Source organism: Homo sapiens, chromosome 21 (assembly GCF_000001405.40).
Source record: "Homo sapiens chromosome 21, GRCh38.p14 Primary Assembly".
NCBI classification, from domain to species: Eukaryota; Metazoa; Chordata; class Mammalia; order Primates; family Hominidae; genus Homo; species Homo sapiens.
The window spans coordinates 33,925,841-33,950,668 of record NC_000021.9 but is presented as its reverse complement, the minus strand read 5'-3'; the positions used below and the strand labels follow the sequence as shown (position 1 = coordinate 33,950,668).

At 43.6% G+C, this 24,828-nt stretch overlaps 1 long non-coding RNA gene across 3 annotated transcripts in view, besides 5 other annotated features; it reads right to left on the bottom strand.

Annotated features, from left to right (window-relative positions):
- LINC00649 (long intergenic non-protein coding RNA 649) overlaps positions 1-19,547 on the bottom strand; it is a 40,065-nt gene extending 20,518 nt beyond the window's left edge. The window contains exons 1-2 of one of the 3 annotated variants that reach the window (NR_038883.2): positions 18,927-19,547; positions 4,774-4,859 (exon numbers count right to left, since the gene is read on the bottom strand). This is a non-coding gene — a long non-coding RNA (long intergenic non-protein coding RNA 649). Of the gene's footprint in view, positions 1-4,773; positions 4,860-12,296; positions 12,445-18,926 lie in introns of those variants that run through there. The other 2 variants (NR_134558.1, NR_134559.1) reach the window with 2 other exon arrangements.
- Positions 1,879-1,938: an enhancer, noted in NCBI's record as "active region_18386". NCBI's record gives its function as "activates an Ori minimal core promoter by ATAC-STARR-seq in GM12878 lymphoblastoid cells {active_cell/tissue: GM12878}" and the evidence as "EXISTENCE:reporter gene assay evidence [ECO:0000049][PMID:35858748]".
- Positions 2,123-3,322: an enhancer, noted in NCBI's record as "P300/CBP strongly-dependent group 1 enhancer chr21:35319651-35320850 (GRCh37/hg19 assembly coordinates)". NCBI's record gives its function as "activates an origin of replication core promoter dependent on BRD2, BRD4, P300/CBP, MED14 and CDK7 cofactors, with strong dependence on P300/CBP, by STARR-seq in HCT116 cells {active_cell/tissue: HCT116}" and the evidence as "EXISTENCE:reporter gene assay evidence [ECO:0000049][PMID:35650434]".
- Positions 2,469-2,948: an enhancer, noted in NCBI's record as "active region_18385". NCBI's record gives its function as "activates an Ori minimal core promoter by ATAC-STARR-seq in GM12878 lymphoblastoid cells {active_cell/tissue: GM12878}" and the evidence as "EXISTENCE:reporter gene assay evidence [ECO:0000049][PMID:35858748]".
- Positions 2,790-3,084: a silencer, noted in NCBI's record as "tiled region #8462; K562 Repressive non-DNase unmatched - State 1:Tss". NCBI's record gives its function as "represses a minimal TATA promoter and a strong SV40 promoter by Sharpr-MPRA in K562 cells {active_cell/tissue: K562}" and the evidence as "EXISTENCE:reporter gene assay evidence [ECO:0000049][PMID:27701403]".
- Positions 19,253-19,894: an enhancer, noted in NCBI's record as "OCT4-H3K27ac-H3K4me1 hESC enhancer chr21:35303079-35303720 (GRCh37/hg19 assembly coordinates)". NCBI's record gives its function as "activates a minimal SCP1, AML or CMV promoter by ChIP-STARR-seq in primed H9 embryonic stem cells {active_cell/tissue: H9 hESC(primed)}" and the evidence as "EXISTENCE:reporter gene assay evidence [ECO:0000049][PMID:30033119]".

The window sequence follows — 24,828 nt, the reverse complement described above, 5'->3', positions numbered from 1 at the left end:
GACCACGGTTCTAGGTGTGATCTTTTGTCGCTGATCCCAGATTCTACGTCACCTCTAGCACATGTCAGGCACTGCCCCTGGCGGACCCTTTCCACCCTTCCTGCTTTGCTGTCTCAGTGGACCCTTCAGTAGGTGTGTCAGCGGGAGGGGTTCACAGAACACCTCTTTGGCGGGATCTCCAAAAGCCCCTCCTCATTTCCCTCTTCTTGACCACCAACGTGTCCCTCTCCCTGCCCTTTTAGCTGGGGTCTCCTGCGTGCCTGGGCCTTTCTGTCTCCTTCTTATTTACTTTGCCCAGCAACTACTATAACTTCTCACCTGGCTCTGACCCACACAAACCTAGACCAATCCCCCTGTTTCCCTCTCCACCTCCTAAAGAGTGGGGTGCCCAGCTGGACCATAACGACACAGCTGCCTCGGGCTGGGGTTGAGGGGCATCCACTTGGTTCTTCCTTCACTGGGAACGCCAGACCAGGAACGGCCCCAGCTTTCCTTAAGGAGGAATGGTTTCTCTGAGTGGAAATGGTACGCATTCTGCAGGCACTAACCATCTTCAGTGGTTGTGGTTTAAAACTCAGAATGAGAAAGCCACCTTCAAAGAAGCCATGCCACACATTTCCTGTTTAGGAGCTCAGCCTAGACTAGATGAGTGCTCACGCCTATAGTCCCAACACTGGGAGGCTGAGGCGAGTGGATGGTCTTCAGCCCAGGAGTTTGAGACCAGCCTGGGTAACACAGTGAAACCCCATCTCTACCAAAAAAAAAAAAAAAATTAGCCGGGTGTGGTGGGACTCACCTGACTCACCTGTACTCCCAGCTACTCAGAAGGCTGAGGTGGGAGGATCACTTGAGTCCAGGAGACTGAGGCTGCAGTGAGCCATGATCACACTACTGCACTACAGCCTGGGCAAGAGAGTGAGACAGTGTCTCAAAAAAAAAAAGAGCTCAGCCTTGATTGGGCATCAGATTTAGTTCTTGCTTAATGGCCCAGAGCAGCATAAAGCATGAAGCATGACAGACATGTCAAAAGCAGGCCTGGCAGAGTCATCCTCCTGGGCTCCTATGGCATATCCTTCACGCTGGCCAGGCCTCAAATCCAATTCCAGGTCTTGACCACCACCAAAGCCCTGCGGTCAGCCGAAGGTTCCTGCCAGCCAGCTTTGTTCAGTTATCTACTTATTTTTACCCCTAAACCACCCCAAAAAAATAAGCAGACTGACTGTTCAGTTAAGGAGGGACATCAGTCCACTACAAGGCCCTGAAGCCAAGAGCTAATTTTAAGAAAGGAGGGAAACACATATCACAATGTGCCCCAGACCAAACACCACTGGGACAGGAGTGTGAACAGCGCTTAGAACCCAACCCTGGAGGCTCACCTCTGTGCAGCCTTTGGCCATCCATCCGGAGCCCGCCCTGATTCTCCACAGGGAGAGTGGGGAATTACAGTTCCCATCCCTGTTGGGTGGAACCAGATGACATCCTAAAGGCCCTTCCTACTGGGACTCGCTCCATCCTGGTAATACCTGCCATCGAATAAACACCATGGCCAGCCATAGAGACGCATGATCACACTCGGTCATCCCAACAACCCAGCCAGACTGTTCTTGTGAACACCCTTTCCAGAAATGGGGACAGTCTCGTGCCAAGATGCCAAAATGGGTGGGGGGAAGAGAAAGGGTTTGGGTCCAGGTCTGTCTAATTCGAAGGCTGCTTCTGGCACTTCCCCAGCTCACGAAGCCTGCTGCCTCTTGACAGGAAGTAAAAGGCACAGACAGATGGTGCTCTGGTGGAGCCCTGCCCAGAAAATGGCCACTTCCGGAGCAAAACTGCCACAGCAACAGGCCTTGTCAACAGCAGCCTCCAACCGTTAACCACAGGGCCATCTCACCTCTAGAAATCAGCTCCCTTTTATCCACACATCCCTACACACAAACAATAACTCCATCACCCAGGAGACCACAGAACAAAGGCAACGAGAGAGAGGGACAGAATGGGGCATAAATAAGATGCTGGATGGGCAGACAGGAAAAAAACACTTCAAGGCAGAGCACACCAGGATGTATTAGAAAGGAGTATTTGACACGCAGGCTTTTAGATGAAGCCTACCCTCCTTACGTGGGGAGTATACACAAATGAGTCTGTATTTTCAACTACGTCACATGCACCGCCTTGCAACCCAAAACAATATTTGTGCTTCAGGGGCTGCACTGCGCTGTTTTATACACAGAATCACCTGGCACAGCTCCTGTCCCTGAGATGCAAATTAATGTTCTCATGTAGTGGGGGGAAGGGGTCGAGAGGAGGCGAGGGGGAGGGGAGCAAATGTGCTCTGCAGGCCACACTCAGGCATTGACATCGCTGGGCATGATAGGCGCCGCCAGTGCTGTTGCTTAGCAACTCAATACCCTTCGAGAAAATCCAGCAGCCTCGCTGGCTTGCAGAAGCAGGCAGGGCTGGTTCAGCATGGCATTGGGCATGGAAAGATACTAACAGGTTTTTTTTTTCCAGTTATTAATAATCATTCTTCCTGATTTCCCATACAGATCGACATACCTGAGGGGACCCAGAGTCATCCACTACACTGGGGCTGGAAAAAGCCCAGGGTTTTTAAATTGCCTCCCAATCGGCTTCGGAGAGTAGTGGAATTTTACTGGCTGGTCCCATGACACTCCTTCCAGCCCCGGCCCTCACCACAACACAAAGGCAGAGCTCCACAGTGTGACTCACCAGCATACCTTCAGATCGTTGTTTGTCAGCCCATGTCATGAGTCATGGTTTCTTCAGCTTTCTTTTTTCTCAAAACTGAAACACTTGACATTTTACAATAGGGTTGGGGGGAGGCTTTTCATTTTTTTTTTTTAAGCCACTCTGTGGCTTTGTGTGCAAGTGTGGGGGCACGTGGGCAGAGGTGAGTAATGGATGCAAGAACAGGTAAACATGAGCAAGGTTCTCCACGCCATCAGCCACCTGGCAAGCCATCAGAGCTCAAGGAAGTTGTCATTTGTGTCGTGGAGGAATGGGAATACCCCTGGGCTATGTATCTTGGAAGAGACAAGGTGCTGGACAGCTTTCCACCCTCCATCTGTTGCATCCCAGCAGTGTAATGCTCCCTCTATTCCCACACACAAAGAGGTCGGCTTCATTTTGTGCCACGTGATAACAGCACCATGTAAGGCTTTAAGAAAAATCCTGCAGGAGTTACAAGAGACAAAGTACACTGCGACGTAAGATAAGAAAAAAAGAAGTGGAATTGCCACAGGGAAACTGTGCTGGGCCGAACAGTTGGTTGGTGGGTCCCTGGCTTTGGGTTCTGATTCTGACATAAATCGGGTGGGTGATGAGCTTCTTATTTGCATGGCTCATGCAAATATGCCATGATGTTATAAAGCACAACTTTCCTCCTCTCCATGAAGCCCTCAATCTCCAAATTTATTCACTTAGACAGCACAGTCTTTCCCCCAGAGTGTGAACCCCTCAAAGTCGGCACCATTTTATAAATCTCTTTATGGTATCAACCCAGCACATATCCAATACATACTAGATGCTCACTCATGCTGCCTGTGTGTATGGAGACATGGAGAAACAAAAATTAACTAAATCCAATTCACGTTTTGGAATCCTTATTTATTCCCATGCATTACAGGATAGATTCAATATGCCCTGTCAAGTCCCAGGAAAGTAATGAAGACCTAGGAAAGGATACAACAGAAAACGTTCTGAATGTTACACAATTTGAAATGCCATGATGTCATAAAGCATTCTTAGAAAAGGTAATAGTTGGCCGGAGGTGGTGGCTCACTCCTATAATCCCAGCACTTTGGGAGGCCGAGGCGGGCAAATCACCTGAGGTCAGGAATTCGAGACCAGCCTGACCAACAGGGTGAAACTCCGTCTCTACTACAGATACAAAAATTCGCCAGGCATCACCTGTAATCCCAGCTACTCGGGAGGCTGAGGCAGGAGAATTGTTTGAACCCAGCAGGGGGAGGTTGCAGTGAGCTGAGATGGCGCCACTGCACTCCAGCCTGGGTGACAGAGTGAAACTCTGTCTCAAAAAAGAAGAAAGAAAGAGAGAGAGAGAGAGAGAGAGAGAAAGGAAGGAAGGAAGGAAGGAAGGAAAGAAAGAAAGAAAGAAAGAAAAAGAAAGAAAGAAAGAAAGAAAGGAAAGAAAGAAAGAAAGAAAGAGAAAGAAAGAAAAGGTAATAACTATCAAAAGTCTCCCCACAGTCAGGGATGAGGACCAATTCTATACATAAGTAAATTAGGGAAGGGGAAAGTTAGAACTAATAAAAATATTTGCCCTGTCAGATTGGGGTAATGTCTGAAATTTCCACAATATTTGCTTATTTAGATTAAGATATTGAAGACCTGTGTCAAAATGTAAATGTTCTGTAGCCACAGCAATGTATAAATCCATTATTAACCTCAGGTGCATTTGCTAAATTTATTAAATCCATTCCCAGAGTGTAAGAGACCTAGGGATTGAGACTTGAAGCATGTAATTGTGTTTTTACATTATGGAAATGTCCAAACATGTACAAACTTGAAGTAATAGTGTAATCAAGCTCTATGTGCTCATCAGCTAGCTTCAACAATTATCATCCTATCACCAGCCCTGTTTTATCTACTTCCTCCCAACACACACACATTGGAGTGTTTTGAAACAAATCTAAAACCTCATAGCATTTCATTCATACATATTACAGTATATAACTCTAAAATATAAAGACTTTTTTTTTTTTTTTTTTTTTTTTTTTAGAGACAGGTACTCACTATGTTGTTCAGGCTGGTCTCAAACTCCTGGCCTCAGGCAATCCTCTCATGTAGCTGGAATTACAGTCCTGAGCCACCGCACCCAGCTAAAAACATAAAGACTTTTTAAAAACATAACCACAATACCAGTATCACACCTGAAAAAAAACCCCAACAATTTCTTTTTTTTTTTTTTTTTTCTATTTTTTTGACATGGAGTCTCGCTCTGTTGCCCAGGCTGGAGTGCAATGGCATGATCTTGGCTCACTGCAACCTCCACCTCCTGGGTTCGAGCAGTTCTCCTGCCTTAGCCTCCCAAATAGCTGGGACTACAGGCATGCACCAAAATGCCCAGCTAATTTTTGTTATTTTTAGTAGAGACAGGGTTTCACCCTGTTGGCCAGGCTGGTCTCAAACTCCTGACCTCAGGTGATCCACCTGCCTTGGCCTCCCAAAGTGCTGGGATTACAGGTGTGAGCCACCACACCTGGCCAACAATTTCTTAATATCAGTAAATATCTGGTCAGTACTCAATATTCAAATATCCCTGTTAAAACAATTCAGGGGTTCTTTTTGAATTAATGAACTTGAATTATTAGAGCAGTTTTAGGTTCACAGCAAAATTGAGCAGAAAGTACACTTCCCATATGCCCACTGCACCCAGACATGCACCACCTCCCCCACTATGGACGTCCCCCACCAGAGGATGATCTTTGTCACAATCAGTGAACCTACACTGATACATCATTATCACCCAATGTCTGTAGTTTACATTGGAGTTCATTCTCGGTGTTGTATACTCTTTGGTTTGGACAAATGTATCATGATATGGATCCACCATTACAGAACCATAAAGAACAGTTTGACGTCCCTACAAATCCTCCGTGCTCTGCCTGTTGATCCTGCCCTCCCTCCAACCCCTGTCAACCACTATCTCCACCGTTTTGCCTTTTTCAAAATATCATATAGTTGGAATCATACGTAGCCTTTTCAGATTGGTTTCTTTCACTTCATAATCGCATTTAAATTTCCTCCATGTCTTTTCATGGCTTGACAGCTCATTTCCTTTTAGTACTGAATAATATTCCACTGTCTGGATGTACCACAGTGTGTTTTTCCATTCGCCTACTGGAGGACATCTTGGTTGCTTCCAAGTTTTGACAACTATGAATAAAGCAGTTATAAAATCCTGTGTAGGTTTCTGTGTGGATATGTTTTCAGCTCATTTGGGTAAATATCAAGGAGTATAATTGCTGGATCATGTGGTAAGAGTATGTTAGTTTTGTAAGAAACTGCCAAAGTGTCTTCCAAAGTGTCTGTATCATTTTGCATTCTCAGCAGCAAAGAATGAGAGTTCTTGTTGTTCCACTTTCTCGTCAGCATTTGGTGCTGTCAGTGTTTGGATTTTGGCCCTTGTAATAGGTATGTAGTTGTATCTTTTGTCATTTTTATTTGCAATTCCCTAACAATAAATGATGTTGAACATCTTTTCATATGCTTATTTGGTATCCATATATCTTCTTTGGTGAGGTGTCTGTTCAGGTCTTTTGCCCATTTTTTAATTGAACTGCTCCTTTTCATTTTTTCTTTTTCTTTTTGTTTTTTTTTTTTGAGACAGGGTCTTGCTCTATTGCCCAGGCTGGAGTGCAGTGGTGTGATGTCAGCTCATTGCAACCTCCACCTCCTGGGCCCAAGCAATTCTCCCACCTCAGCCTCCTGAGTAGCTGGGACTACAGGTGCACACAACCACGATTTGGAGTTTTGTTGTTGTTTTTTTATTTTTTATTTTTTTTGGTAGAGGCGGGGTTTTGCCACGTTGCCTAGGCTGGTCTCAAATGCCTGGGCTCAAGTGATCCACCAGCCTTGGCCTCCCAAAGTGATGGGATTACAGGTGTAAGCCACCACACCTGGCCTGGACTGTTCCTTTTCTTATTGTTGAGTTTTAACAGTACAGTTTTGAGGTTAAAGTGGTCATATACAGAACATGGCCAGGGCTGGTCCTAAGAGTATGCACACGGAAAGACAAGATGTGAATTTCACCTGTTTCACTGTTTTGTATTCCGTTTCACGGTTGTTGAGAGCAATCCATGCATGAAGTAGGACATAGATGTGGAATTCAATTTCTCTTCCTATCAGCCAATGATGCACACCAGCTTCCCCCAGTTGTTATAAAACAACAAAGAGCTGGGTTTTCTTAACCTGGCAGTAGCAGGACTTGATTATTTAATCCCATTGTCAGCTCTACCTAATCATGGATAAGCTAGATATCCTTGTCTGATCCTCAGTTTCCTTGTAAGATAGAGGTAATAATAGGACCTACCTCATACAATTCTTAAGAGAATTAAAGAGGATAATGAATGTAAAGCACTTAGGAAAGCTCTTGGCATGGTACACTCATAATGAAGATGAACTATTGTATTGTTACTTCCCAGTCTCCCTGGAAACCAAAGCTGTGGGCAAGCTGACGCTTGATGAAGCTCCTAATGGCCAATCATGGCCTCTCCTCTGCTTTACAAAACACTGAATCTGAAATGTTTCAAGCTAGTGTTCTCGATAGGTTTCAGACCACCTGCATTCAAATCATAGCAAGCAATTATTTAAAATGTGGATCACTGGCCAGGGGTGGTGGCTCATGCCTGTAATCCCAGCACTTTGGGAGGCCAAAGCAGGTGAATCATTTGAGGTCAGGAGTTCAAGACTAGCTTGGCCAACATGGTGAGACCCTGTCTTTACCAAAAATGCAAAAATTAGCCAGGTGTGGTGGTGCACACCTGTAATCCCAGCTACTCCAGAGGCTGAGGCAGGAGAATTGCTTGAATCCGGGAGACAGAGGTTACAGTGAGCCGAGATCATGTCACTGCACTCCAGCTTAGGCGACTCCATCTAAAAAAAAAATGGGATTAGTAAGGCCTGGGCAATTCTTAAGAACACTGACATTTGAAAACTTCGGCCTTAAGCTTGCCTTACTGGTCGTGGAATGACTTACCCAACCAGAGAGAAACCGTGGTGCCCAAAAGTGAAGATTAGCAGAGGGGACCCGGGACCTGGGATCATGAGGCTAGCAGTGGACCCTGGCCACTTGTGGAATGGAATTAACAAGAACTCCCTCATGGGGCCACAGCTACATATATTCCATTAATTGATTAATGTACAATGTCACTTGTGTTATTATTTCAATTCCAAGAACCTAAATATAGAATTCCTACTTGGTGCTTCCAAAAGAAGACCATGTGGCCTAGTGATTTCCATAACAAAGGACATCACTCATGAGAGTCTCACCCATTCATTCATTACCAAATATTTATTGAGTGTCTATTCTTTGCCAGGCACCATGCTGGCAACAAAACAGGGAACAAAGTAGCCACATCCCCTACCCTCTTGAGTAGAGGGCTCTGAAATATTCACAAAGAAGGGATGGGAGAAATGTAAAACAAAGCTTACAAAATCCAAAAACTAGAAAAGGACCTTCATGGGTACAAGCTCCAATTCCTTCAATAGAACTGGTGAGGAGACACAGAGAAGGAGATGAAGCAACTCCACGCCCAACTCAAGTCGGCAGCTAGGAAGGCACCTTGCCCCTTAGTTCTCAGAACTCTTCTTACCCTGTTTGTTTTGCAAAGAAGCAAAACAAATAGGGAGTTGCTCTTTCTCTGTGTCATTGGAATGCTCTCTCGAGTTGACAGCAGCAAAATTGTTCCCACTTAATGCAGTCCTATTAAATTTTAATTTTTATCTTAATTTAAAAGCATGATATAAAACAGTATACAGAGTGGAATCTCATTTTTGTAAAGAATATATATGTGGTGTTTGTGTGTGCATAGAAAAATGGCTGTAAAAATGAAAGATTATCAATAGACAGCCCCTAGGGGCTAGGATTATGGGAGCTTTCAATTTTCTTCTTTATTTTCTTGGAACTTTCTCTGAATTTTCTAAATCTCCAAGAACACAAATTACAGTACTTCTATAAGAAATTAAAAGGTTGTTTCAAAAATAATGTTTGCTTTTTTCTTTTGAAGTCAGTGTGTTTTGCTTTTTTGACAGTAAATCCAATCTCATAGGAGGTTTCGAGAATCTTCTTGTCCAGATTACACCCAAAAGTTAAACTCATGAGAGACGCAGCATAAAACAGTGACCTGTTGCCAGAACTCCTCTAAGATTTTTTCTTTTTTCTTTTTTTGAGATGGAGTCTCACTCTGTCACCAGGCTGGAGTGCTGTGGCATGATCTCGACTCACTGCAACCTCCAACTCCATGGTTCAAGCCATTCTCCTGTCTCAGCCACCCAAGTAGCTGGGACTACACGCGCATGCCACCACGCCCAGCTAATTTTTTGTTTTTTTTTTTTTGTATTTTTAGTAGAGACAGGGTTTCGCCATGTTGGCCAGGATGGTCTCGATCTCCTGACCTCGTGATCCGCCCACCTCAGCCTCCCAAAGTGCTGGGATTACAGGCATGAGCCACCGCAACCGGCCTCCTCCAAGATATTCTTAGGTGTACCAGGTGAAGACTAGCTGTGGTTGTGAATGAAATCAACTAATCTACAAATATTTCCAGACCCCTAACAAGTACAAGGAATTGCACTGTGCCCTGTGTCAGGAGGTCAAAGGCATGATCCTGGTCTCCGAGAAACTTGCAATCTAGCTGAGCCACAAAGACATAAACATATGCAAAGTGGATTAACAACATGTGCCCAGAAGCGTGATATTGGGACACACGCCATGTGCTGCAGTGGCAAAGGGAGTTTGTTTAGGAAGCCATGAGAGCCAAGAAGTGGACAGAAGGTGAAGGAGGCTCCCGGGGTCTGGGCCTGAAGGCAGTGGGGAGCCACTGTGGGTTTTTTCAGCAGGGCAGTGACGTGATGAGATCTGTATTTCGGGAAGATTAGGTCAGTGGAATGTACAATCCTACTGGAGCAGGAAGAGACTAAAGAGAGAGGAAAACAATTGCAATAAAGGCCCAGTGGAAAGAACACTGGGTGTCAGGTGTGGCTCAGACACCAGGCAGGCCACTCCAAACATGCCACTTCTTCTGCCTGGCACCAGCTGCCTCCCCTGACAAGCGAGAGAGTTAGGCTACAATCTTTAAGGTCCTTGTCAGCTGCTAAAATTCTTTAGTTCCACGATCCAGGTAGGAGTGCTAAAGGCCCGAACCAGTGTGCTGACAATGATGAGGGCAGAAAGGATTTTATTCTAGCAAATGCCTCACGGCAGAAGCTACTAAATCATCTTCAACACAGGCACCCACACAATGAAGTCATGTTTTTTTCTCTTACTCTTATTTTAACCCCACGGGAGGCTTATGCAGCGTTTTCTTTTTACTTTTTTTTTTTTTAATTGAGATGTAGTTTACACACTATAAAATTTCTCTCTGAAACTATACAATTTAGTGTTTTTAGTATAGTCACAAAGTTGTGCAACCATCACCGTTAATTCCAGAATATTCATCACCCCAAAAAGAAATCAACTAACTAAAGCTAATGCCTTACCCGTTAGCAGTCACTTCCCTTTTCCCTTCCCCGGACCCTGGAAACCACTCATCTGCTTTCTGTCTCTACGGGTTTGTTTTTCTGCTGACACGTCATATAAATGGAATCATACAAGTAGACTTTTGTGTCATCTGGCTTCTCTCACTCAGCATCATCTTTTCTTTTCTTTTTGAGCCATAGTTTTGCTCTCGTCACCCAGGCTGCAGTGCCATGTCACGATCTCGGCTCACTGCAACCTCCGCCTCCTGGGTTCAAGTGATTCTCCTGCCTCGGCCTCCTGAAGTAGCTGGGATCACAGGCGCCTGCCACCGTGGTCAGCTAATTTTTTTTTTTTTTTTTTTTTTTGTATCTTTAGTAGAGACAGGGTTTCACCATGTTGGCCGGGCTGGTCTTGAACTCCTGATCTCAGGTGATCCACCCACCTTGGCCTCCCAAAGTGCTGGGCTTACAGGCGTGAGCCACTGCGCCCGGCCAGCATCATCTTTTCAGGGTGGTAGCATGTGTCAGTACTTCATTCCTTTTTATGGCTGAATAATATTCCATTGTATGGATATGCCAGATATTGTTTACTCATGCATCCATTGATAAATATGTGAGTGGTTTCCACTTTTTTTCCAGTGCAGTGAATCTTATTCTCTGGTTTACCAGCAGAAAGCTGTCACATGAGCTTCCATTATTTGAATTGTTTAAAAAGTGGAACTTGGGGGTGAAGGGGAGTGTGATCACTTCTGGACAGAACAATCGTGTCTTCATCTGCATCAATATTCATTCTGGTAAGTCTTACCAGAGATACTACTGGGGGAACTGAAACATTTGTACCTCCAAAAGAGTGTGTGACTTTAAGTGAAAATTGCTGAGCACCAAAGCCCATTCCATGGATTTTAAAATGCCACGGGATTAGGGGTAATCTTTAGCTTTTATGTTCTGCCAGTGAGAGGGCATTGAGTTTGTAGATTCCCAGGCATGACTGAAGCCAAGTCTCAGCTTATGTGGAACTCGCTTTTCATTCTGTAAACAACATACTCAGGCCTGTGCGTATCAGAGTTTCAGCTTTACTTCTTTTCCCACAGTCCAAGCTGTTGATTTCCTCACTGTATTTTTATGAGTTAGAAAAACATGAAATATCACAGAACTGTGATTACAACATGACTCTAGATGTCCTTGTCTTTTCCTAAATCACACTAAGTTAAGAATAAGGCCAATAAAACAATTATCCAGTTGACATGAGACCTCTGAGTTCAGACTTTTCTAAATGGGAGAGGAGGGGGAAAAAATCCAACTCAGCTGTATGTCGTCTTCTTCTAGATGTTTAACACAATTTTTTTTTTTTTGAGATGGAGTCTCGCTCTGTCACCCAAGCCAGAGTGCAGTGGTGTGATCTCAGCTCATTGCAAACTCTTCCCCCCGGGTTCAAGTGATTCTCCTGCCTCAGCCTCCCGAGTAGATGGGATTATAGGTGCAAGCCACCACGCCTGGCTAATTTTTGTATTTTTAGTAGAGACGGGGTTTCGCCATGTTGGCCAGGCTGGTCTCGAACTCCTAACCTCAGGTGATCAACCCACCTTGGCCTCCCAAAGTGCTGGGATTACAGGCATGAGCCACCGCACCTGGACTATAATTTTAAAATTATCACATATGCCAGCAAAAAGAGTAGAAAGTCTTAATTGAAAGCTTTATCACAAAAAAAAAAAATTTACTAAGTACCTACTATGTGCCAGAAAGAGTAATGAGTTCCATGGTGTCTTGTGATGTAATTGAAAAGATTTAACCATTAAAACCGTCAGAATTTGCCAGGGGCTGTGGGGAAGAAGGAATGGAAAGTGACCGCTAATGGGTATGAAGCTTCTTTGGGGGTGAAGAAAATGTTCTAGAACCAGATAGTGGTGATGGTTGCACAACCTTGTGAATATACTGAAAACCACTGAAATGTAAGCTTTAAAAGAGTACAGAAATTTTACGGTATGTACCATACCATAAAATTGAAAATAATTTTGAATAATTTGAAAAGTGAAATAATAATGACACATCATAGTATCATTAAAAGAAAAACTTCAGCCAAATTAAATTTAAAGGAGTTTAATTGAGCAATGAACAATGCACGAATCGGGCAGCCCCCAGGATCACGGCAGATTCAGAGAGACTCCAGGGATGATCGCTTCTCGGCCTTTTGGCTAAGATCAAGTGTGAGACTCCAGGGATGACTCGGGTCTGAACAAATTTATAAAAAAAAAAAAAAAAAAAAAAGGAAGTGACGTACAGAAATCGGAGGTGAGATTCTGAAACAGCTGGATCGGTTACAGCTCGGCGTTTGCCTTATTTGAACAGAGTGTGAACACTCAGCAGTGTATGAGCGGTTGAAGTAAGGCTGCTGGGATTGGCCAAGACTCGGCAATTGTTACAGCTGCATACTCCTCAATTAGGATTTCAATCTTGTCATAATCCTAAATTAGGGTTTCAATCTGTTTCAAAGTTAGGTTGCAGTTCGTCCACAAGGACTCAAATATGGAAGTAGGAAGTCCGGGGCCGGGCACGGTGGCTCATGCCTGTAATCCCAGCACTTTGGGAGGCTAAGGTGGGCAGTTCACTTGAAGTCAGGAGTTTGTGACCAGCCTGGCCAACATGGTGAAACCCTGTCTCTACTAAAAATATAAAAATTCGAAAAATTAGCTTAGCATGGTAGTGGACACCTGTAATCCCAGCTACTCAGGAGGCTGAGGCAGGAGAATCTCTTGAACCCAGGAGGTGAAGGCTGCAGTGAGCCAAGATCGTGCCACTGCACTCCAGCCTGGGCTACAAAGCAAGACTTCATCTCAAAAAAAAAAAAAAAAGAAGAAGTAGGGAGTCCTTTTCAGGCCATATCCATATATAGTTTGCTTTAACAGTATTTTTTAAAGACTTAAAAAACATGCCTGGGGGTGAGGTAGAGGAGAGATTCTCTTTCAAAACAGTTTTGCTACTGAGCAAAAACTAGAGTCAATTTCCCTGTCCTGTTGCCACTATCCAGATTGGCTGCAGTCCTCCCCTAGCTGTTCCCACTACAGGCCTCTGGCATCCCAAAACCCCCAGCTTTGTCTGGTTCAGTGAACACCCCAGTCCACACACTGCAGTGGAACCTCTCTTAACTGCTTTGCCCCCAAGGATGTATGTTTCAAGAGAACGCTGCCTGGCTTACAACGTGATTTGGAAATACGCTGCTGGCTGTGTTTTATGCGTTTTATCAAGTGTTTTTACCTTTGTGCTAGCTGGGACCATGAAGGGCACAGTTTTAGAAGGTTGAAGTTAAATAATGATTTCACACCAGAAAATGTTCAGCAGGGGCCCCCAAGCAGCAAGCTGCCAGGCAATGGTCAATATTCTTGAACCCTGGAGGCAGCCACACAGCCAGAATTTGCACAGTGGCCACTGGTAGAGTTTGGGGTTGGATAATATAGCAGTTAAGCCCAGGGTCTTTGGAGGCAAGCTAACTGATTGGCCATGTAGTCTTGGGCAAGATCATTCACCTCTCTAAACCTCAGTTTCCTCATCTGTAAAATGGGGATGATTTTACCTATAGGCATCCTATAGGTTTGGGGAGGATTACATGAGTAAATGAACATGAAGTGCTTAGACAGTGCTAAGTAGATGCTGCTGTTAGAATTATTATGACTTCCTGAGCTGTTGTTTTCTTACCACCCTTAAAGAAGGAAGGAAGGTGTTTGCCACATCTAACAACCTTCAAGGATGCTGGCAACTTCCCAGCTGGGTCTATTTTGATTGTCATCCCACTTAGACATGTCACATTCTAAACTAAGACATTTCAGCTGAGGGTCATGGGTCCAGGGACATTCTGGGGGAACTCAGTTGAGATTCCAGGGTGAAACCAACAAACCGGGTCTTCACATTCTGCCACTTTTCATTGTCTTTAGGCTTTGAGCAATTTAAGCCCCATTTACAGGTTCTCAGAGACCCGTGCCAGATAGCTCAGAATCACATGAGGAGCTGGTTTAAAATAGGAAATTCCTGGCCCCACCCAGGACTACTTCACAGAGCCTCTTGGGAGAGAATCTGCATTTCAACAGGCTCCTCGTTGCCTCTTCTGTGAGCTGGAGAGTAAGAACTGCAGCACTTGGGCCAAACACAGTGGCTCACGCCTGTAAACCCAGCACTTTGGGAAGTCGAGGTGGGAGAATTGCTTGAGCCCAGGAGTTCAAGACCAGCCTGGACAACATGGCAAGATCCCATCTCTACCAGAAATAAAAAAATTAACTGGATGTGGTGGTGCACACCTATGGTCCCAGATACTCGGGAGGTTGAGGTGGGAGGATCACTTGAGTCCGGGAGGTTGAGGCTGCAGTGAGCTGTGATCGCACCACCGTACTCCAGCCTGGGTGACAGAGCAGACCCTGCCTGGCTCAAAAAAAAAAGGCAAAAAGAACTGTAGCAGTTGAACTTGAGAAACTGACCTCTACAGCCCAAGGGCATAAAACCAAGTGCCAGGCTCACACAAGCACTGAAGACCCTTTTTTTTTCCTTTATGAATACAAAAAAAAGACTAAATAAAATTGAAAAATAAACTTTCAAAGGCTAACCAAAAATCATGAATGAGTAAATGAAGCAGCCACACGTATCTCGTTTCTTCTTTGCTGCTCCTCACCATGTTGTCCCTGAAGGGGAAAGCATTAATATTTATTGAGGGGATTCTTCCTCAGTACAAAAGTAACGTGAGATTAATGCTTAAAACTCCAAAACCACAGAGAAACACTAAAGAAAAGACAAACAGGCTGGGTGTGGTGGCTCATGCCTGTAATCCCAGCACTTTGGAGGCCGAGGCAGGTGGATCACTTAAGGTCAGGAGTTTGAAACCAACCTGACCAACATGGTGAAATCCCATCTTTACTAAAAATACAAAAATTAGCTGGGTGTGGCAGCAGGCACCTGTAATCCCAGCTATTTGGGAGGCTGAGGCAGGAGAATCCCTTGAACCAGGAGGTGGAGGTTGCAGTGAGCCGAGATCGTGCCACTGCACTCTAGCCTGGGCAACACAGCGAGACTCCTCTCAAAAGAAAAGAAAAGAAAGAAAAGAAAAGAAATATGAGAAATAAGGGGGATCATATATAATTGTTAGCTCCAGGGATACTTTAGAATAATGTGTTTAAAACTGTTTTGTCTGGAGACTTAATGTATAGCATGGTGACTATAGTTAATAACAATGTATAGTACACTTGAAATTTGCTAACAGAGAAGAACTTAAGTATTCTCACCATACACACACATCCAAAAGTAACTGTGGGAGGTTATGAATACGTTCATTAACTTGATTGTGGTAAGCATCTTGCAATGTTTATGTATATCAAGTCATTACATTCTGTACCTTAAATATATTCAATTTTACTTGTCAATTATGTCTCAATAAAGCAGGGGGCAATACAATTTTTTTTAATTTAGCATGCAAAAATTTTTTAAAAACATCAAAGCTGAGTCCACAGTGTTGATTTTACTTGTATAAAATATTTCTGCAAAATTTATCCTATCAAGATATTTGGTTCACTCCAGTCCCACCCTAGAAACCTGTCACACTTTCAGTTCAGGACCTACAGACCCATTGCAACCGGCCAGCTGTCTCTGCTCCCATAAGGGGAGGTCCCAAGTCATCAAAGGGGACACTGTCCCTAAGGTCAGCTGTAACCTTCCATTTGGAGTGTCTTCTTTTTATTATGAAACATAACTAAGGCTGGGCATGGTGGCTCACACCTGTAATCCCAGCACTTTGGGAGGCCAATGCGAATGGATCACCTGAGGCCAAGAGTTCGAGACCAGCCTGGCCAACATGGTGAAACCCCCGTCTCTACTAAAAATACAAAAATTAGCTGGGCATGGTGACCATGCCCGTAATCCCAGCTACTCAGGAGGCTGAGGCACCAGAATTGGATGAATCCAGGAGTTGGAGGTTGCAGTGAACCAAGATCATGTCACTACACTCCAGCCTGGGCAACAGAGCGAGACTCTGTCTTAAAAAAAAAAAAAAAAAAAGACAAACAGAAATCATTGCTCAGAAGCCAACACTGTCAACAGTTTTTGAGGTTCTTTCTGGCCTTTTATATAATGTGTATAAATACACAATTATTTAACAAAAACCTCATTTATACACAGGCTACTCTTTCTTGAATTTGAGCCTGCTCTTTTAAAAAAAAAAAAACTTAGCAAGGCATTATGAATATTGTCTCAGGTCAACAAATTCTTTTTCACCATAGTTTTAAACAGCAGCATAGCGTTCCACCATAGATATGCTGGGATATTTAATCCCTGTTCAATCACTGAATATTCAAGCTCAACAATTAATTAAAAATAAAATAAGGCCAGGGGTGGTGGCTCAAGCCTGTAATCCCAGCATTTTGGGAGGCCGAGGTGGGTGGATCACCTGAGGTCAGGAATTAGAGACCAGCCTGGCCAACGTGGTGAAATCCTGTCTCTACTAAAAATACAAAAATTAGCTGGTGCGGTGGTGCATGCCTGTAATCCTGGCTACTCAGGAAGCTGAGGCAGGAGAATCGCTTGAACCTGGGAGGCGGAGGTTGCAGTGAGTTGAGATCGTGCCACTGCACCCCAGCTTGGGTGACAGAGTGAGACTCCGTCTCGAAAAAATAAAATAAAATAAAATAAGGCAGATTCTAATTCATAGGCCTTTGGTGGACATCTGTCATTTTTTAAGCTCTACAGTTGACTTCAATCAGTAGCCAGGATTGATGGCTACCATGAAAGACTACTTCTAGAATATTCTCAGGAAACCTTTAGAATTGGAACACAAATAAGGAAAATTTCCAGGCCCTGAGGACATCAGCAAATCTGGATTATATAAACCCCATTAATTCCAGGGTGAGCAGTGCTGTCACACATCACAAAAGGAAAGACTACTACTCCTTTTGTCCTTGTCACAAATGGACTGACTTGATCCAATGTCCCTAAGATGGTGCCAACTTCATTTCTGATGAACAGCCACTTTGAGAACTGTACTGTGAGGCTCTGCCAACTGGAATGACTTGTTTTTATCATTTTTTTTCTCTCTCTTTCATTGCTTCATTTAATTGCCAAGCTATGACTGGAGTTTGCTGTGTCTTTGGGGCTCAGGTGTACAAGGAATTCCCACAAATTAAAAAATATATTCAAGAAAGCTCAGAGTTTATGAAATTATATGCAACTTAGCTTGATGTTAGTCTAATGCCCATCTCAGTGTCTTCTTGAATGTATAACAAAGAAAAGGTGATTTTTAAAAGTTAAAATTGGTTCAGGCCAAGCATGATGGCTTACATTTATAATCCCAGCACTTTGGGAGGCTGAGGCAGGTAAATCGCTTGAGCTCACGAGTTCAAGACCAGCCTTGCCAATATGATGAAACCTCATCTCTACAAAAAATACAAAAAGTAGCCGAGTGTGATGATGTGCGCCTGTGGTCCCAGCTACTTGAGAGGCTCAGGTGGGAGGATGGCTTGAGCCCAGGTGGCAGAGGTTGCAGTGAGCCGAGATTGCATCACTGCACTCCATCCTGGGTGAAAGCCTTGTCCCAAAAAAAAGAAAAAAGTTAAAATTGATTCAAAGGGAGTTGGTGACAGCTCCTTATAGGGTCAGTCTTGGTTGCTTCTCTATTCCCTACAATTTCTATCATGATCTCAAATAGGCCACTCATATTTGTTTAAAGAGTTCATGCCTGCAATGAATGAATGAATAAAGATGGCTTTCTATCCCATTTCAAGCCATACAATATAGATGATCTGAATTACTCTGCTGTCCTGCAGATTTGGCCTTGGTTCCCAAAGACCACCCCACTAATAGCCCCCTGATTGCTTAAAAACTCAAAATAGCCAGTGCTTTTATCCAGCCCTACAATTCTATCCACAGAACCATAAGCCCGTAGAAATATGCTACCAGCCCAGCCTCCCCCAAGGAGGTGTCCTGCAAAATGAAAAGTATGGCATTCTTTACCACTTTCGGGTCAAGGGGCCATCTCCAAGGTCACACTAATTCATCTGCTACAGACACTGTGGCTGCCTTTAAACCTTGAGCTAGAAAAAGCCTCCTTTATTCTCCAGTCACCTCATCTACGCTTTTCCCAGCCTCTCCGTGGGGTCAGCAGTGACCACTTCCTTGTACCAAACTGCACTGCCCCAACAGAACACCAGCCTGATTTACCAGGATCCTCAAAGCAAGTGTTCCTTTCTGTGTGTTCTTTATGCATAAAAAGAAACAAAATGATTCCTCTGTCACCAAACTTTGCCAATGGTTTTTGGGGTGGTGCATCCCACTGTGGGGTCCAGGAAGATCATATTCTCTCTGGAGCATTTCAAAATCGGACTCCGCCACTCGCTGTCCCACGTTCTGGGAGCACTTCCCCACATCTGAATGTGTTTCCTTGCCCCAACTTTTACTTTCACTTTTGCTCCAGCTAAATAATTATATAAAGAAAAAAATGTAGAATTTATCTTTCTTTTTTTTCTTTTTTTTTTTTTTACCATGTAATTTCCTTTTTCGTGGTGAACTCCTACAAAGCCTCGGCCGTTCTCACATTTTTGTTTGAACCAAACATAAACGCTCTTTTTTATAAAATAAATCTTGCTCTGTGCTTGCTTGCCAATGTGCCCTGATTGCTGATTGTTCTAAAATCACTAGTCTGTCTTCCCTTGTAAACCCCCTGATGAAGACACCCAGTTGTGACTCACCTAGCTGTGGTCCCCTGCAACCAGGTGCCTCCAAAATGGGGCTGGCGTTGACAATAACCATTTCCCAGCTTTTAGAAAGAGGTGACAGAGCTCTGTTGTAGTGTCTGAGCCACAACTCAAGAAGGTAATGAGAATAAGGAGCCAAGATGGCCGAATAGGAACAGCTCTGGTCTACAGCTCCCAGCGTGAGCGACGCAGAAGACGGTGATTTCTGCATTTCCATCTGAGGTACCGGGTTCATCTCTCTAGGGAGTGCCAGACAGTGGGCGCAGGTCAGTGGGTGCGCGCACCGTGCGCGAGCCGAAGCAGGGCGAGGCATTGCCTCACTTGGGAAGCGCAAGGGGTCAGGGAGTTCCCTTTCCGAGTCAAAGAAAGGGGTGACGGACGCACCTGGAAAATCGGGTCACTCCCACCCGAATACTGCGCTTTTCCGACGGGCTTAAAAAACGGCGCACCACGAGACTATATCCCACACCTGGCTCGGAGGGTCCTACGCCCACGGAGTCTCGCTGATTGCTAGCACAGCAGTCTGAGATCAAACTGCAAGGCAGCAGCGAGGCTGGGGGAGGGGAGCCCGCCATTGCCCAGGCTTGATTAGGTAAACAAAGCAGCCGGGAAGCTGGAACTGGGTGGAGCCCACCACAGCTCAAGGAGGCCTGCCTGCCTCTGTAGGCTCCACCTCTGGGGGCAGGGCACAGACAAACAAAAAGACAGCAGTAACCTCTGCAGACTTAAATGTCCCTGTCTGACAGCTTTGAAGAGAGCAGTGGTTCTCCCAGCACGCAGCTGCAGATCTGAGAACGGGCAGACTGCCTCCTCAAGTGGGTCCCTGACCCCTGACCCCCGAGCAGCCTAACTGGGAGGCACCCCCCAGCAGGGGCACACTGACACCTCACACGGCAGGGTATTCCAACAGACCTGCAGCTGAGGGTCCTGTCTGTTAGAAGGAAAACTAATAAACAGAAAGGACATCCACACCAAAATCCCATCTGTACATCACCATCATCAAAGACCAAAAGTAGATAAAACCACAAAGATGGGGAAAAAACAGAACAGAAAAACTGGAAGCTCTAAAATGCAGAGCGCCTCTCCTCCTCCAAAGGAACGCAGTTCCTCACCAGCAACGGAACAAAGCTGGATGGAGAATGACTTTGACGAGCTGAGAGAAGAAGGCTTCAGACGATCAAATTACTCTGAGCTACGGGAGGACATTCAAACCAAAGGTAAAGAAGTTGAAAACTTTGAAAAAAATTTAGAAGAATATATAACTAGAATAACCAATGCAGAGAAGTGCTTAAAGGAGCTGATGGAGCTGAAAACCAAGGCTCGAGAACTACGTGAAGAATGCAGAAGCCTCAGGAGCCGATGGGATCAACTGGAAGAAAGGGTATCAGTGATGGAAGATGAAATGAATGAAATGAAGCGAGAAGGGAAGTTTAGAGAAAAAAGAATAAAAAGAAATGAGCAAAGCCTCCAAGAAATTTGGGACTATGTGAAAAGACCAAATCTACGTCTGATTGGTGTACCTGAAAGTGATGGGGAGAATGGAACCAAGTTGGAAAATACTCTGCAGGATATTATCCAGGAGAACTTCCCCAATCTAGCAAGGCAGGCCAACGTTCAGATTCAGGAAATACAGAGAACGCCACAAAGATACTCCTCGAGAAGAGCAACTCCAAGACACATAATTGTCAGATTCACCAAAGTTGAAATGAAGGAAAAAATGTTAAGGGCAGCCAGAGAGAAAGGTCGGGTTACCCTCAAAGGGAAGCCCATCAGACTAACAGCGGATCTCTTGGCAGAAACCCTACAAGCCAGAAGAGAGTGGGGGCCGATATTCAACATTCTTAAAGAAAAGAATTTTCAACCCAGAATTTCATATCCAGCCAAACTAAGCTTCATAAGCGAAGGAGAAATAAAATACTTTACAGACAAGCAAATGCTGAGCGATTTTGTCACCACCAGGCCTGCCCTAAAAGAGCTCCTGAAGGAAGCGCTAAACATGGAAAGGAACAACCGGTACCAGCCGCTGCAAAATCATGCCAAAATGTAAAGACCATCGCGACTAGGAAGAAACTGCATCAACTAACAAGCAAAATAATCAGCTAACATCATAATGACAGGATCAAATTCACACATAACAATATTAACTTTAAATGTAAATGGACTAAATGCTCCAATTAAAAGACACAGACTGGCAAATTGGATAAAGAGTCAAGACCCATCAGTGTGCTATATTCAGGAAACCCATCTCACATACAGAGACACACATAGGCTCAAAATAAAAGGATGGAGGAAGATCTACCAAGCAAATGGAAAACAAAAAAAGGCAGGGGTTGCAATCCTAGTCTCTGATAAAACAGACTTTAAACCAACAAAGATCAAAAGAGACAAAGAAGGCCATTACATAATGGTAAAGGGATCAATTCAACAAGAAGAGCTAACTATCCTACATATATATGCACCCAATACAGGAGCACCCAGATTCATAAAGCAAGTCCTGAGTGACCTACAAAGAGACTTAGACTCCCACACATTAATAATGGGAGATTTTAACACCCCATTGTCAACATTAGACAGATCAACGAGACAGAAAGTCAACAAGGATACCCAGGAATTGAACTCAGCTCTGCACCGAGCAGACCTAATAGACATCTACAGAACTCTCCACCCCAAATCAACAGAATATACATTTTTTTCAGCACCACACCACACCTATTCCAAAATTGACCACATACTTGGAAGTAAAGCTCTCCTCAGCAAATGTAAAAGAAGAGAAATTATAACAAACTATCTCTCAGACCACAGTGCAATCAAACTAGAACTCAGGATTAAGAATCTCACTCAAAACCGCTCAACTGCATGGAAACTGAACAACCTGCTCCTGAATGACTACTGGGTACATAACAAAATGAAGGCAGAAATAAAGATGTTCTTTGAAACCAATGAGAACAAAGGCACAACATACCAGAATCTCTGGGACGCATTCAAAGCAGTGTGTAGAGGGAAATTTATAGCACTAAATGCCCACAAGAGAAAGCAGGAAAGATCCAAAATTGACACTCTAACATCACAATTAAAAGAACTAGAAAAGCAAGAGCAAACACATTCAAAAGCTAGCAGAAGGCAAGAAATAACTAAGATCAGAGCAGAACTGACCTTCAAAAAATTAATGAATCCAGGAGCTGGTTTTTTGAAAGGATCAACAAAATTGATAGACCACTAGCAAGACTAATAAAGAAAAAAAGAGAGAAGAATCTAATAGACGCAATAAAAAATGATAAAGGGGATATCACCACCGATCCCACAGAAATACAAACTACCATCAGAGAATACTACAAACACCTCTATGCAAATAAACTAGAAAATCTAGAGGAAATGGATAAATTCCTCGACACATACACTCTCCCAAGACTAAACCAGGAAGAAGTTGAATCTCTGAATAGACCAATAACAGGCTCTGAAATTGTGGCAATAATCAATAGCTTACCAACCAAAAAGAGTCCAGGACCAGATGGATTCACAGCTGAATTCTACCAGAGGTACAAGGAGGAACTGGTACCATTCCTTCTGAAACTATTCCAATCAATAGAAAAAGAGGGAATCCTCCCTAACTCATTTTATGAGGCCAGCATCATTCTGATACCAAAGCCAGGCAGAGACACAACAAAAAAAGAATTTTAGACCAATATCCTTGATGAACATTGATGCAAAAATCCTCAATAAAATACTGGCAAACGGAATCCAGCAGCACATCAAAAAGCTTATCCACCATGATCAAGTGGGCTTCATCCCTGGGATGCAAGGCTGCTTCAATATACGCAAATCAATAAATCTAATCCAGCATATAAACAGAGCCAAAGACAAAAACCACATGATTATCTCAATAGATGCAGAAAAAGCCTTTGACAAAATTCAACAACCCTTCATGCTAAAAACTCTCAATAAATTAGGTATTGATGGGATGTATTTCAAAATAATAAGAGCTATCTATGACAAACCCACAGCCAATATCATACTGAATGGGCAAAAACTGGAAGCATTCCCTTTGAAAACTGGCACAAGACAGGGATGGCCTCTCTCACCACTCCTATTCAACATAGTGTTGGAAGTTCTGGCCAGGGCAATTAGGCAGGAGAAGGAAATAAAGGGTATTCAATTAGGAAAAGAGGAAGTCAAATTGTCCCTGTTTGCAGACGACATAATTGTATATCTAGAAAACCCCATTGTCTCAGCCCAAAATCTCCTTAAGCTGATAAGCAACTTCAGCAAAGTCTCAGGATACAAAATCAATGTACAAAAATCACAAGCATTCTTATACACCAACAACAGACAAACAGAGAGCCAAATCGTGAGTGAACTCCCATTCACAATTGCTTCAAAGAGAATAAAATACCTAGGAATCCAACTTACAAGGGATGTGAAGGACCTCTTCAAGGAGAACTACAAACCACTGCTCAAGGAAATAAAAGAGGATACAAACAAATGGAAGAACATTCCATGCTCATGGGTAGGAAGAATCAATATCGTGAAAATGGCCATACTGCCCAAGGTAATTTACAGATTCAATGCCATCCCCATCAAGCTACCAATGCCTTTCTTCACAGAATTGGAAAAAACTACTTTAAAGTTCATATGGAACCAAAAAAGAGCCCGCATCGCCAAGTCAATCCTAAGCCAAAAGGACAAAGCTGGAGGCATCACACTACCTGACTTCAAACTATACTACAAGGCTACAGTAACCAAAACAGCATGGTACTGGTACCAAAACAGAGATATAGATCAATGGAACAGAACAGAGCCCTCAGAAATAACGCCGCATATCTACAACTATCTGATCTTTGACCAACCTGAGAAAAACAAGCAATGGGGAAAGGATTCCCTATTTAATAAATGGTGCTGGGAAAACTGGCTAGCCATATGTAGAAAGCTGAAACTGGATCCCTTCCTTACACCTTATACAAAACTCAATTCAAGATGGATTAAAGACTTAAACGTTAGACCTAAAACCATAAAAACCCTAGAAGAAAACCTAGGCATTACCATTCAGGACATAGGCATGGGCAAGGACTTCATGTGTAAAACACCAAAAGCAATGGCAACAAAAGCCAAAATTGACAAATGGGATCTAATTAAACTAAAGAGCTTCTGCACAGCAAAAGAAACTACCATCAGAGTGAACAGGCAACCTGCAAAATTGGAGAAAATTTTCGCAACCTACTCATCTGACAAAGGGCTAATATCCAGAATCTACAATGAACTCAAACAAATGTACAAGAAAAAACAAACAACCCCATCAAAAAGTGGGCGAAGGACATGAACAGACACTTCTCAAAAGAAGACATTTATGCAGCCAAAAGACACATGAAAAAATGCTCATCATCACTGGCCATCAGAGAAATGCAAATCAAAACCACAATGACATACCATCTCACACCAGTTAGAATGGCAATCATTAAAAAGTCAGGAAACAACAGGTGCTGGAGAGGATGTGGAGAAATAGGAACACTTTTACACTGTTGGTGGGACTGTAAACTAGTTCAACCATTGTGGAAGTCAGTGTGGAGATTCCTCAGGGATCTAGAACTGGAAATACCATTTGACCCAGCCATCCCATTACTGGGTATATACCCAAAGGACTATAAATCATGCTGCTATAAAGACACATGCACACGTATGTTTATTGCGGCATTATTCACAATAGCAAAGACTTGGAACCAACCCAAATGTCCAACAATGATAGACTGGATTAAGAAAACGTGGCACATATACACCATGGAATACTATGCAGCCATAAAAAATGATGAGTTCATGTCCTTTGTAGGGACATGGATGAAATTGGAAAACATCATTCTCAGTAAACTATCGCAAGAACAAAAAACCAAACACTGCATATTCTCAC